This window comes from Homo sapiens, chromosome 7 (assembly GCF_000001405.40).
Source record: "Homo sapiens chromosome 7, GRCh38.p14 Primary Assembly".
Classification (NCBI taxonomy): domain Eukaryota; kingdom Metazoa; phylum Chordata; class Mammalia; order Primates; family Hominidae; genus Homo; species Homo sapiens.
Window position 1 is genome coordinate 17,652,380 of NC_000007.14, and position 14,990 is coordinate 17,667,369.

The following is a 14,990-nucleotide window of genomic DNA, read 5'->3' on the forward strand; positions in this document are numbered from 1 at the left end:
GGGGCCCCTCTTGTAGCCTCACTCACTCAGTGAGTGTCTTGGGGCTTTTCACTTCCACCATTAATAAGATCTCTTTGCTTGGGAGGTAACACTTGGACATCCTTTGTTTTGTACATTAGGATAGCAGCCATATTAACAGCAGCAACATTTTTTCAACATAAACATAACAGCAAATAGGTAATAGGATGAGTCAAGGATCAAAACATGTGCACTGTCGGCCAGACACAGTAGCTCATGCCTGTAATCCCAGCACTTTGGGAGGCTGAGGTGAGCCGATCACGAGATCAGGATATCGAGACCATCCTGGCCAACATGGTGAAACTTCGTCTCTACTAAAAGTACAAAAATTAGCTGGACGTGGTGGTGGGCTCCTATAGTCCCAGCTACTCAGGAGGCTGAGGCAGGAGAATCGCTTGAACCCAGGAGGCAGAGGTTGCATTGCAGTGAGCTGAGATCGCGCCACTGTACTGCAGCCGGGCAACAGAGCGAGACTCCATCTAAAAAAAAAAAAGTGCACTGTCACCCACATAATTCACAGGGACAAAGAGACAGAGAGGCAGAGGGAGAAATAGGGCAGACTTTCAGAAGTCCTAAACATGAACTAAAATACTAAGGTTTATACATATTCTTTATATCTCATAATCTTTCAGAGTATGTAATCTTACTTTGATTATGTAACCATAATCTTTCAGAGCAGTGGAGTATAAAATAACTGTTGCAGATTATTAACTTTCTTTAAATGCCAATGGCAAAAGTTAGCGTTTACGAGTTTTTCTTCCAAACCATCTATGCACCTCAAATAATCTCTTTGGAAGCCATAACATCTCTTTACAGCTCACGTAGGAAATTCAACTTCTCCTAAACCCCTCCCATTCAGATGAGCGCTGGGTAAAAGCTCCTAGGAGGCCTTTGGCTAGGTCAGCTGCCTTGCCCTATTCTGCTCAGCTGGGTGGTGTTTGTGTCTTTCCACAAAATGGATAAAGACAAGAACCGATTGCCCACCCTATCTAACAGTCTCACAGCTTCAAGGAGTTTCCTGATGGCCCACTGCTCCTAACATGTTTCTCCTACCAAGTCAGTCTATGACAGTAGTTCAGCAAAGACCCTTTTATTACTTTATTGTGGCTGCTGTAACAAAGTATCACAAAATGGGTGGCTTAGACAACAGAAATTCATTGTATCACAGCGCTGTGGAGGCTAGAAGTCAGAGATAAGGCATTGGCGGAGTTAGTTCCTTCTGAGGGCTGTGAGAGAAGGATCTGTTGCAGTCCTCTCTCCCTGGCTTGGAGACAGTCATCTTCTCCTGGTGTCTCTTCACATTGCCTTTCCTCTATGCATATCTCTTTGTTCAAATTTCCCCCTGTTGATCAGACACCAGTCGTGACGGATTAGGGCCAGTCCTAATGACCCCATTTTAATTTGATTACCTCTGTAAAGACTTTGCCTTGAAATAAGGTCACATTTTGAAGGACTAGGGGTTAGGATTTCCATATATAAACTTCAGGGGTACCAAATTCAGGCCATAACAACCATCTATTCATTCTTATATGGTGAACACTGCTGACAACATTAAGGTCAATTTGCACTCTGAGAAGCAAGGATGCCAAACCCACTGGGCCATGTGTCAGCTCATGAATAGTTTGCAAGAAGCTACTATAATTCTCACAAACTAGTATCCTGTGATGCTAAGTGAAATTCATTACAATCAGGTCACCTATAAAACACTTTTCTTCTAAATGTATGTGTGGTTTACTGTACGATAATATGAAAGAGTCAAACTAAAACCACACCTGGTAATAATCTGTGAATACAGCAACTTTGGCTTTTTCTTCAATCATCCTCTGCCGAGGTATTTATCCAGTTTCATTCTCCATTTCATGCATTTAACAATGAGACAATAATATAGCCTTATCCACCCTGTATCATAGGTCATCAAATCCTCTGTCTTTCCTAGCCACCACAACCACAAATTCAACAACCAATAATATGCCTATGTCCTTAGTAACACTGTTTTCCTTAAAAAGAATTCCACCACCATCCTGCTAAAAGATCCCCAACCCAGTTCACAAAGGTTGTGTCACTGTGCTTCATCACCCTGATGACAATAAGGTTGAAATCTCCTCTTATAAACCCCTTGTCTTGAGGCATAACTCAATTGATCCTATGAGGAACAGGGATATACTCTTTGAATAGACTGTAAACCCAATCACAGAAAGTGTCTTCCTCTCCAAAGAAACTAGTTTGACCTAAAAACCCAAAGCCCACATAGATAGACCTACCATGTTCTGTTAGAAAAATAAATTCAACGGAAGTGTTCTAAGATTGCCAGATGCACAGGATAAGACATCACTTAAAAAACAAAGGATCCATCATTGCCTGAGATCTCACTTTAAAGGTAGAATTGCCTTTACTTGAGTCTGCTTTCCTTAGCTAATCCAAAGTAGCCAAGGTATAAAATTGAACCATATAAATCATATGTGTTAAAATCATCAATAACTGTCAACTTCATGTGGCTCAGCCTAATTCCATGCTTCATTCATTAATTCAATTCTTTCAAAAATCCTTTATTAAGTGCTTTCCATTCCTAGGTCTCTATCCTCGGTGTGCATAAATCTACATAAGTAGAGTTTTCAACACAGTTAAGGAAAAAACCACTTCTGGCTATGAGATCTGAAGTTATCCTTCCTCTGTAAACAACTAAGAAGCAGAACAAAATACAGGAAATAACTATTTTCAGACATTGGACAACAGGCAACAGAGAACTGTGATCCCAGACAGAAAGGAAATAGAGTGCTATGACTGCCCAGGTTCTTTGCCTAAAGGCAATTTCTGAACTGCTGAGCAAGGAGGGGAAACCCAAACTGCAATCTCACTGAGTGGAGGAAACAAAGATGAGATTCAGGAGGATTTAGGTGGCTTTAATTTACATGCCAGAATACCCGAAAAAACTGGAGCTGATACAGAGAAAGAGTTCTAGAAATCAGCATAGAAGAACTCTAGAATCTATGTCTGATTATCAATATGCACTTGTAGAGTGTGAAACACCCTAAGGTACGGCAAATAATGACTTCTGAGGAAAGAAAATGTACTGAGGAGTTATAAGCCAAACAATTCTTAGAGCTCATAAAAGGCCAGGAATAGTTTGAGTTTCCACCAGTGAGAATACAAAGTCCTCATGGGATACATGTAGCAGCCAATGAAGACCACAGAAGGGCCAACCTAAAAAGTGAGTTTAAATTACCTCTAGTATAAAGACGACTCCAGCTATGCCCTTAAAATCTCTTTTTAAAAGATTCAAACAGATAAATCTTGTCTGCCACATGCTCCAAATGAAAACAACTAGATATAAGAAGAAGCAGAAAAATATGGACCAAAACCAAAAAAAAAAATTAGTCAATAGAAACATAGATGAAAAATATATCTGAGATGAAAATATCACTAGATGGAATCAATAGCAGATTAGAAGCTTCAGGAGAAAAGATTCGTGAATTCAAAGACAGCAGTAGAAATTAGGCAAAATGAAGCATAGAGAAAAATTACTAAAAAAAAATTTACAGAGCTCAGCGATCTGTGAAAGAACATTAAGAACTTTAACACAAGTAAAACTGGAGTTCCAAAAGGAGAAAGAAGTGAATAGAAACAAATTTTTAAGAAATAATGGTTGAAAATATTCCATAATTGAAAACTGTAAATGCACAAAGAGGCTCAGCAAACCTCAACCAAGAAAAATACAAAAACGTAAAAAAAACACACACACAAAACACTACAGAACAATATAACCACATTGCTTAAAGGCAGTAAAAAGAGAAAATCTTTAAAAAACAGCCTGAGGAAAGAAAACACATTAAATACAGAGAAACGAAGATAAAAATACCACAGATCTTTCTTACTTCAGAAACTATGCAACCTCTGTTTTCACTTATTTGTGGGATCTAAGAGTAAAAACAATTGAATTCAGAAGAATGGTTACCAGAGGCTGGGAAGGGTAGTTGGGGGAAGAGGGGAAGGTAGGGGATGGTTAATGGGTACAAAAAACGGTAAGAATGAGTAAGACCTAGTATTTGATATCACAACAGGGTGACTATACTCAATAATAATTTAAATTGTACACTTAAAAATAACTAAAAGTATATGACTGGATTGTTTGTAACACAAAGGATAAATGCTAGAGGGGACGGATACTCCATTTTCCATGATGTGATCATTACATATTGCATGCCTGTATCAAAACATCTCATGTATCCCATAAATATGCATACCTACTATGAACCCATAAAAATTAAAAATTTAAAAAAAAGAAACTATGCAAGCCAGAGGACAAAAGAACAGCATCTTAAAGTACTGAAAGAAGAAATAAATGTCCTCAGACAACGAAAGCAAAAATAGACAAAGGGAATACATCAAGCCTAAAATCTTTGGTTCATCAAAAGACACAGTCAACAGATTGAAAAGGCAACCTATGGAATAGGAAAAATATTTGCAAATCAGGTATCTGATAAGGAGTTAATATCCGGAATACATAAAGAACTCCTGCATCCTTCAAAAGTGAAAAAAGAACAAAATTAAATATTTAGAAAATTAAAATAGAAAGAATTATTACAGCTCAACAGCAAAAAAAAAAATCAATAACCCAATTAAAAATGGGCAAAGGACTTGAGTAGACATTTATCTGAAGATAACACACAAATGGCAAACCAAGCATATGGAAAAATATTCACCATCACTGATCAGCAGAGAAATGCTAATCAAAACCGCAATGAGGTATCATCTCAAAGCCATTAGGATGGCTACTATGAAAACAAAAACAAGAAAACAAAATAACAAATGTTGGCAGGAAAGTGAAGAAGTTGGAACCTTTGTGCACTACTGGTAGGATTATTTAATGGTGCAATAGCTTTGGAACAGTATGGCAGTTCCTCAGAAAATTAAAAATAGAACTACCATATGGTCCAGCAATCCCATTTCTGGGTATATCTACACAAGAATTGAAAGCAGGGCCTCAAAGAGATATTTGCATACACATGTTCATAACAACACTATGCAATAACCAAAAGGAAGAAGCAACCCAAGTGTCTGTTGACAGATGAGTAAATGAATAAAATGTGACATATACATAAAATGAAATACTAGGCAGCCTTTAAAAGGGAGGAAGTTTTATCACATATTGCAACATGCATGAACCTGGAGAATATTATGCTAAGTGAAATAAGTAAACCACAAAATGACAAACACTGCATGATTCTACTTATATGAAGTTTATAAAGTAATCAAATTCATAGAAATAAAAAATAAAATGGTGGTTACCAGAGGCTACAGGGAGCATAAAGAGGGAAGTTGTTTAATGAGTACAGAGCTTCAGTTCTGCAAGATAAAAAGGTTCTGGAAATCTGTTTTACAATAATGTAAATATACTTAAAACTATTACACTGTACACTTAAAAATGAATTGTGTACTTTAAAAAGGTTAAGATGGTAAAGTTTATGATGTATGGTCTTTATAATAAAACAGAATAAATACCAATCTATAATTCTATACCTAGTGAAAATATTTTTTAGAAATGAAGGCAAAATGAAGGTTTTTTAGAGAAACATGAAAACTAAGAAAATTCAACACCTAACCTGCATTGTAAGAAACATTAAAGGATGTTCTTCAGGCAGAAGGAAAATTGTACCACATGGAAATTTTAATCCACACAAAGGAATAAAGAGTGACAGAAATAGTAAATATATTGGTAATTAAAACTCTTTTTTCTCACTTTTTAATTTATTTAAAGATAATTGACTAAACATAAACAGTAAGTATATGTAGAATCTTTAATATACGCAGAGATTAAATGTATGACAATAGCATCAAGGATGGAAGAGGAAAATGAAAGTACATTGTTAAAGATTTATACATTATATATGAAGCTGTATGATATTATTTGAAAGTTGACTGTGGTGAGTTGTAAGTATGCATATTTTAAGGCCTAGAATAATTTCCAAAAATATAAAACAAAGAGGTATAGCTAATAAGCCAGCAGTGAAGATAAAACTAAATCCTGAAAAGTGCTCAGTTAATCCAAAAGAAGGCAGAGAGAAAGGAAAATGAGCAAATGGTGCAAATAAAAATCAAATACCATAATACTATGTTTAAAACCAATCATGCCACCATTTACATTAAATATAAATAATCTAAGCACTCCAATTAAAAGGCAGAGATTGTCAGCCCAGATAAAAAAGTGAAATTCAGCTGGACGTGGTGGTTCACGCCTATAATCCCAGCACTGTGGGAGGCCAAGGCAGGTGGATCACCTGAGGTCGGGAGTTCGAGACCAGCCTGACCAACATGGAGAAACCCCATCTCTACTAAAATTACAAAATTAGCCGAGTGTGGTGGCACATGCCTGTAATCCCAGCTACTCAGGAGGCTGAGACAGGAGAATTGCTTGAACTCAGAAGGCGGAGGTTGTGGATGAGCTAAGATCGCGCCATTGCACTCCAGCCTGGGCAACAAAAGCGAAACTCCGTCTTAAAAACAAAAACAAAAACAAAAAAGCACAATTCAACTATATGGTACCAAGAAACTCCTCTAAAATATAATAATACAGATGGTATAAAATAAAAGGAGGGTAACAGAGCTACCATGCACAGCTATGCATGAGACAGCTGCAATTTCTGTATTAATATTAGAATGGCTGTAACTGCCAATATTAGCCAAGTATCACCAAGGCTTTTGCCTCATTCTGTTCTATTAATGTGATGCCTGCTTCTACTCACATTGCTGCTATTCGGCCTGGCCCAAGCGCTAAGGTTCCACCCTGAACTCCCTAGGCCCTAGTGGACTTCACTCAGATCCAGACCTCATTCCACTGCAGGGTCCTGTGAGGCCACTCTGCCCCTGTCATAGCCACATGTCTTCTTGGTTAAAATCAGAACCAGCCCCATGTAAGTCAAATTCTCCATCTGTTCCCAAACCAACCTTTCTTCTCCAGCCCAAGTTATTGAACTCTAGGTCAAAACCCATGTGGCTTTATTCCAAGTAGCATCTGAGTGCTGCCATGCTGCATAAAAGCAGGCTGCAGCAGGAATTAGTTTCTGCTTCCACCACATGGAAAGATGGAAGGGCTCCATCTTTTGCCCGACATTGCTCAATTTCTCCACACAGGAAAATTGACACCAGTATCATCTTTTGGAATGAACATTCTTTAAAACTAAGCGTTTACCTTCTTGTGTCCATAGTAGGGAGCATGATTTACTTGTACTATATAGAACTTTGCATTTTTTACAACAGTTACAGACATTTGTATCTTTTCTGGTGTCCTCTGAGATTAAGAGTAACAGGCAGTAGAGTCAGACTGCCAGGGTTTAAGTACTACTTAACCTTATCACTATCACTGACTAGCTATGTAGACTTTGGCTAGTTACTCAAACTAAGTTTAAGCTACTTGTAGAGTAGTGCGTGAATAGACTTTCAATTAAAGTAGAGATATGCGCCTGTAATCTCAGCACTTTGGGAGGCCAAAGTGAGTGGACCACGTCAGGTCAGGAGTTCAAGACCAGCCTGGCCAACCACTAAAACTACAAAAATTAGCCGGGCGTGGTGGCACGTGCCTGTAATCCCAGCTACTTGGGAGGCTGAGGTAGGAGAATCACTTGAACTCAGGAGGCAGGGGTTGCAGTGAGCTCAGATCATGCCATTGCACTCTAGCCTGGACAAGAAGAGTGAAATTCTATCTCAAAAATAATACTAAGTAGAAATATGAAACTCAGAAGTATTATACAAGGTACCTGAAGTCACCTAAAGAAGGGTAGATCGTGGATTACAATTCTAAGATTTTTCATGTATTTTGGCATCACTTCTCACCAACTCCACTGCTACTACTCTAGCATCATCTCTTGCAAAGCATATTAGACAGCTTTTAAAGTGGCTTGCAATGACTCCCATCTCCTGGTATTCACATCCTTGTGCAATTCCTTCCCCTTGAGTGTGTGCTGAACTTAATGATTTGTTTCTAACAAGTAGAATATGGCAAAGCTAAGGGGATATCACTTCTGAGTGGGCTTTGAAAGACTGTGGCCCCCATCTTATGCATGCTTTCTCTTTCCCTGGCTCTTACTGCTTGCTCACTTGCTTGCTCTCCTGAAATAAGCTTCCATGTTGTAAGTTGCCTTACAATGTCCCTAAGAGGTACATTTGGCCAGAAAGTGAGGGTGGTCTCCAATTAATATCTAGAAAAAAAACCAAAGCCCTCAGTCTAACAACCCACGAGGAACTGGCTTCCACACGAGTAAGCATAAAAGTGAATATTGCCCTAATTAAGCCTTGAGACAACTACAGCCTTGGCTGACACCTTGATTGCCACTTACAAGAGACGCTGCACCAGATCACCCAATTAAACCTTGCCCAAATTCTTGACTCACAAACCGTGAGATAATAAATGTTCGTTGTCTGAACATGTGTTGAAAAGTTTGGGGGTAACTTGTTACACAGCGCTAGATAACTAATGCGTGAAAATTATAGCAATAGCCTTCTAATGTTTCCTTACTTCTACTATTACCTTTCCAGAGTACAGAGACTTATGCTTTTAAACAAGTCTGATAAAGTCATCTTTCAGCTCAAAACCCTGCAATGAGTCCCTCCTTTTCAGAGTAAAGGTAAAAATCCTTACAAGACCTAAAAGATCCTAAGACTCCCCTTTGCTGTGACTTCAAATCTCACTACTCACTTGCTTGCACCCCCACCCCACAGGTTTCTTTACTGTTCCTCACATGTGCCGGGTGTGTTCACACATTGGCTTTTGCATTGGCTTTCCCCTTTCTCTGAAATCCTCTTTCCCCGGATATCCATACATCTAACTCCCTTGCCTGTTTCAATTGTTTAATCACCCTGTTATCTTCTCAATGAGTTCTAACCTGACCATCATATTATAAATTGCCTATATCTTCTCTTTCCCCATTCTACTTTTCTTTATCCACGGCATGTATCATCTTCTAATTTGATATATATTTTACTTATTTATTATGCTATTGTTAATAGTCTTTCCTCCAAAAATAATGTAGTCTCCAAGAGGAGAGAGAACTTTGCCTTTTTTCTTCTGTATTAGAAGATAACTAAATTAACTACCCCGCTCTCAGTAATAATCTAGAAGGAGTTTTTTCCCATACAAAGATGATTATAACCCACTTTTAGCATGTAAAAATACTTAACATGGACTTAATACATTATTTGTTATCATTACTCTTTATTTAAAGTCACAGTTTTCAAGATTTTCAAAGTGCTGATGAGATTTTATAGTGCCAAGACAGGGGTTACAGTGATCACCAAGCAAAGGCAAATCATGCCTGCTGTGACCATCTTCGCAAGGACCTTCTATCAAGACACCAAAACTTTAGAAGCAAAAATAGGAAAATTAACTTAAAAAACAAAAACGCTGATATAAACTAAAAGCATGAATGGCATTTCCTTATTCAACATATTAAACAAAGTAAAAGCTTCCAAACTCTCATATAAGAATACATGATAAGAAATATTTGGCTGCCAAATGAGTTTTATACTATTACATACCTCCTTTGTTCTATGGAAGTATGAAATAGACCTGAGGCATCCTTTATATTTATCAGAACTTGATTAGTAAGCAGCAATTCTATTTCTTTGTTCAGTTTTTATGGGCTTATATCATACTTTGATCCTAAAACAAATTCCCTAGTAAGAGAAGCAGGATTCAGCTTGTCAGGTGCCCACAAATAAAGGCCTTTTTTATTTCCTTCTTAGTTGAAAGGCTTTCCCTCAACTGTGGTTAGCAACCTCATTCCCAAGGCAGCCTTTGTGTCCAAGTAGGAGTTGTGTATGTTACCTCCAAGCATGCAAAGTGCAACGATCCCCCACTGTCTGTGTTAATGGGCTGCAAAGCTTAACAGTCCCAGATGAAGCAACATTTTTGCGTTTTTACACTTGAAACTTGGCCTTGTAATGCACCTCCATCTCCTGCCTGCCCTTTCCCTCCTACCCAGGTGCACAAGCCTGTGTGTGCACACACACCCACATACACCTACACACACACACTGAAGTATTCTTTTCCAAAGCTGCCCTTGAACTCTCTTACAATTTTCTAGCTGTATGACAAGAGAGAACAAAATACATTGAATGTCTTATACTTAATTTTTAAAAGCTGATCCAAATGCTGTCTGGGCCCAGCCACAGTCATTGAACACACGCACAGACACACACACACACACACACACACACACACACACACACACATCACAGAGCATTTTTAGTTTGACAAGAGAAGGGGACGTCAAAGGCTTGTCCCCAGAGACAGCTATTTATAAAAGACATCAAATTAATGTAACATGAGTCAATGGAGTCCACACGTTTCTTGGACTAAACAACTTGTGGGGGCCTGTGATGAGATCCAGGACACTGACGGCTGAGCAGGGGATGGCTCCGCCAACACCACTGACTCAGCTGCACATCAAAGGGATTTGTTGCTTGGATGTATGGGCAGATCTGCCCTGGAGGCTTCTCCCAGAGCTGTCCTCTTTGAATCCAGAGCAGCCCCTGCCCCCAGCAGTGCACATGTAGGTGAGGGAAGGGTGGAAAAAAGGCGAAGGGGGAAGCACAGGCATGATGGAGAGAGCAGCCTCCACATTATCCTTGAGAACAGGTCCCACCCGGCTGCTCAGTCCCAAGAACTTGCCTTGGCCTTTTCTTTGTCCTTCATGGCCACTACCCCTTCTACCAGGAACATTACCCTTCAGGCTGAACTTTCAACTATTCCAAAAATATTTATTGGGAGCTTTGTGTGTGTTTGCGGGTTGGGGGCACAGAAGGAAACAAGACAGCCCAGGTTCCTGTTCCCATGGAGCAATCTCACAACTTGGCAGTTAGCTGCAAATGCAGGAACCACTTGGCTTAGGTTTGAATCATGCCTCTCCCGCATTCCAATCGTGTGACTTTTGGGAAATTTGCTTAATTTTTCTAAGCTTCACTTTTGCATTTGTAAAATGGAGATAAGAATATGACATCTCCAAAGAGCTATGGTGAGGATCAAGTAATATAAATGTCAAGTGCTTCAGAACATTGTCAGGCACATAGTAAATATTTAGTAAATGTTAGTGATTGTCAACTATTAAATTGTCACCATCTGCCAGTCACTGTGTAAGGCACTGGGTGTGGAGAGAATAAAACACATGGTCCTTGCCATTATGAAACTTTTATTTTGCTGGGGGTGACAGCCAATAGACTAACAACCAGGTGAATGTACAGTAAGTCAGATGATAACTAGTAATATGGAGAAAAATAAAGGAATAATGAAAAAGAAAGAATCATGAAATGAACCTACACTGAGAATAAAAGAAGCGAAACAAGATTAAAACAAACAAAGCACCTACTCTTCTCTGACACACCAGACCCCCAATCTCAAATAGCGGAAGAGAAGCAATCTACTTTGTCCCCTTTCTTCATGCAGAAAAAAGAAAAGTTCTTGGAAACCGTCTTTACTAAACTCTAGAAGTTCCTGAGAGTGGGATACTTGTCCTTATTTATTTTCTCTGAGATTACCATTATTAGTGCCATTCAGCATCTCTAACTATAAATCTACTTGGTATCCTAGCAATTTCAAGACACTCCAGTTTTAAAAGTACCACATGGAATAGTAAGGCACTTACTATTCTAGTTCTTTTGAATCCATTCATGATAAAGGGTCTAAAAGAAACTAGGATCAATGACTGTCATCTGCACGGCACAGCAACATACTCTTGAAAAGACGTGAGAGCATAACATTGCCCTGACTTTGCAAGAAACAGCACAAAGAATGTACTCAAGGTGATGAGGAAAAGCAGTGGCAAGGTAGTATATAGTATATCTCATTGCTGTTATCAATATAATCTTCAGCCAGCATCTTTAAGTGGCTTCTAAAATTGAATTAATTATTCAGTGGAAGCCTCGGAGGCAGCAAGAACTCACCTTTCAGAGTTTTATTTACCCTCATCACCTGCTGTTTGCTCTGGGTTTATTTAAAATCGTAATCATGTCTCCTGTGATGGAGGATTTGGGTTACTTTGTGGTCACATGTGGAAAATATTATATATCCACATCAAATGTAAATGTGGTCTCTCTTAGTAGAAATCCATGTCGTTTCTCTGGAATTAGACCATGTTGACCCTGTGGGCATATGAGATTTAAGTCTACAGGGAGTCCTAAAGAAAAAAAACGTCCTTGAAGCATCCAGGAGAGAACAGTTCCTCAGTCCTTTCATAGCACTTTGTAATTACCGCTCATCACCATAAACAGACAAACAAACAAACAAAAACTTAAAGAACAAAAGAATGTACTGATTTGCAACATTATCTTGGTCCAAAGGGGTTGTTTTGCATTATGCATGCAAGAACAATGAGGAAATCCTCCACACCTGTTAAAAAACGACAGCCCTACAACCAAGAGCCCTACAGTTCCTTTTGCGTCTATGGGGGAGGAGCAAAAAGGACTCATTCCTAAACCCAGGGCAGGCTTCAGGGCGTGTGACCAGTGGAGTCGCACAGGGCCCTTCCTCAAAAGGGCCCTGCACTAGGTTATTAAGACTCGTCAATCACTGTCTTGAATTTCTTAGTAAGTTCAGCTTGGAAGTTATATAGAAGATTCGGAGTCCCAGCTCACATGCAGTCCCTTCTCTGGCACCTCCATACCCCTCCGAGATGGGTTCTCAGTCAGCTTCCTCGGCCCCTGACAACCTGAACTTGATCCAGTTTCCCCCTCCTGGCTCCCTGCCCAGCCCCTGCTGCCGCCCTCCAATGGGGCCCACTGAGTCAAGTGCACCGACAGAGAGGCCCGCATTCCGGGAGGTGCCTGCGCAGGGAGGAGCCAGGTCGGACGCACCCATGGTCCCCAACTCTCCCCAACACGTGTCTCAAGGAAAGACATGGCCTTGGCGGCACCGCCGTGGGTTGGGCAAATGACTCTGCTAGCGGCAGCCTCTTGCCTACTCTGATCCTGCTACCAAGTGCAGTCTATTTAGGCGTTGCCATGACCGGGGATTGAGGTTGTGGACTGTGAGAAACTGGGATTGACCACCGCCCACAGAGCCGGTGGGAAGCGGACCTCAGTAGCCTGTGCTCTGCCCACATGCCCCGCTGCCTGGGAAGGCTAAAAGAACGCAACATTAAGTATCAAATTAAAAATACCGTGATCAGTCGAGAGAGAGACAGGGTAGCAAGTTTTATATTTTATTACCTTTAAGGCCACTTTTCTCTTGTTTTTTTGAAAAAAAGGCCCCCACATTTTCATTTTGCCCTGGGCCCTGCAGAGTATATACCCTGCCTTCCCTAGACCAAGGCTGTGCCAGGCAACACGTAGACCAAAGAGGCTAGAACTTGAGCTCTTGAGTCAGACTGCCTAGGCACATACCTGAAATGCATCTTGTGTAACGTGGGAAAATGCATTTAACATCTCTGCTTCAGTTTCCCCTTCTACAAAATGGGGATAATGTCTTAGAGTGCCTTTGTGAGGATTATGCCATTTATAACATGAAATACTTAGTATCTGAAATATAGTAAGGCTTCAATAAAGGTTAGCAATTATTATATATTAAATATTATATATGGTATCTGCATAGATTCCATAATACAATTCCAAATAAAATTATTTCCCTTTACAGATGAAAAAACTAAGGCATAGTGGAAAGCAGCTTTACCTAATCCTAAATAGCAAAGCAAAGACTTTAAAGCAGTCTCTTCTAATTCAAGGGTATCTATGTCCTCCCACTAATTATGCAGCCTGCAGCTTTGTACGATACACAGTTATGAAACACCTTGAAATCATGTGCACAATATTGAAACTGATCTCTGCAGAAGCGTGCTCTTAAGCTCAAGATGGCTACAATACCCAGGACAGTGTTGATGCTCAAATAATGTTTGACGAAAATGAGTGGAGGATGAACAAATGCCTCTAAAGTGGCATTTCTTTTTTCCCCACACTTTTATGACCAAATGGCAGAGGAGAGTAAACTCTTAAGGGGCATGGGTGAGGGCTGGAGCAGTGCTTGTTGAGGTAGGAACTGGATGCATAGCTGTAAGATTACCATTTCTTTATTTAATGTTTCATTTAAACTGAAATAATTGTGCGTGCTTGGCATTCTACTGAAGAAGTTATATTTTTAAGGAAAATAGTAGGGGGGTGTTCTATTTTTTTCTTTTCTTTTTTTTTTTTTTTTGAGACAGAGTCTCACTTTGTCGCCCAGGCTGGAGTGCAGTGGGGCAATCTCGGCTCACTGCAACCTCCGCCTCCTGGGTTCAAATGATTCTCCTGCCTCAACCTCCCAAGCAGCTGAGATTACAGGTGCCCACCACCACACCCAGCTAATTTTTAGATTTTTAGTGCAGATGGGGTTTCACCATGTTGCCCAGGCTGGTCTCAAACTCCTGATCTCAGTTGATCCTTCCTCCTCAGCCTCCCAGAGTTCTGGGATTACAGGCATGAGACACCACACTTGGCTGATATTCTCAAAATATTTAAGTAAATGCATTTCCCATGAAAATATGCCATATTTAAAACTTGGGATAACAATTATTTTTATGGATCCCTTTCCACAAACCACAGCCAGGAAAACCACATGTTGCTTATATTTCCCCAGCTGTCACAACCTGGTTCAGGTGAAATCCAGCAGCAGAAAATTCTAAAGTTTCCTCAAACATTTTTCAGTTAAATAGAAGAAGTCCAAAGAAGTAGCAGTGATTGAAACAATAAAGGAAAAAATATAATAACATATCAGTTCTTGAAGAGATTTTAGCTCCAGCCAGGCGCAGTGGCTCACGACTGTAATCCCAGCACTTTGGGAGGCCGAGACAGGTGGATCACGAGGTCAAGAGTTCAAGACCAGCCTGGCCAACATGGTGAAAGCCCATCTTTACTAAAAATACAAAAATTAGCTGGGCAGGGTGGTGTGTGCCTGTAATCCTGGCTACTCAGGAGGTTGAGGCAGGAGAATTGCTTCAACTGGGACCTGGGAGGCA

General features: G+C 39.9%; 1 annotated feature.

Moving 5' to 3' along the window:
* Nucleotides 10,241-10,759: an enhancer, noted in NCBI's record as "NANOG hESC enhancer chr7:17702244-17702762 (GRCh37/hg19 assembly coordinates)". NCBI's record gives its function as "activates a minimal SCP1, AML or CMV promoter by ChIP-STARR-seq in naive H9 embryonic stem cells {active_cell/tissue: H9 hESC(naive)}" and the evidence as "EXISTENCE:reporter gene assay evidence [ECO:0000049][PMID:30033119]".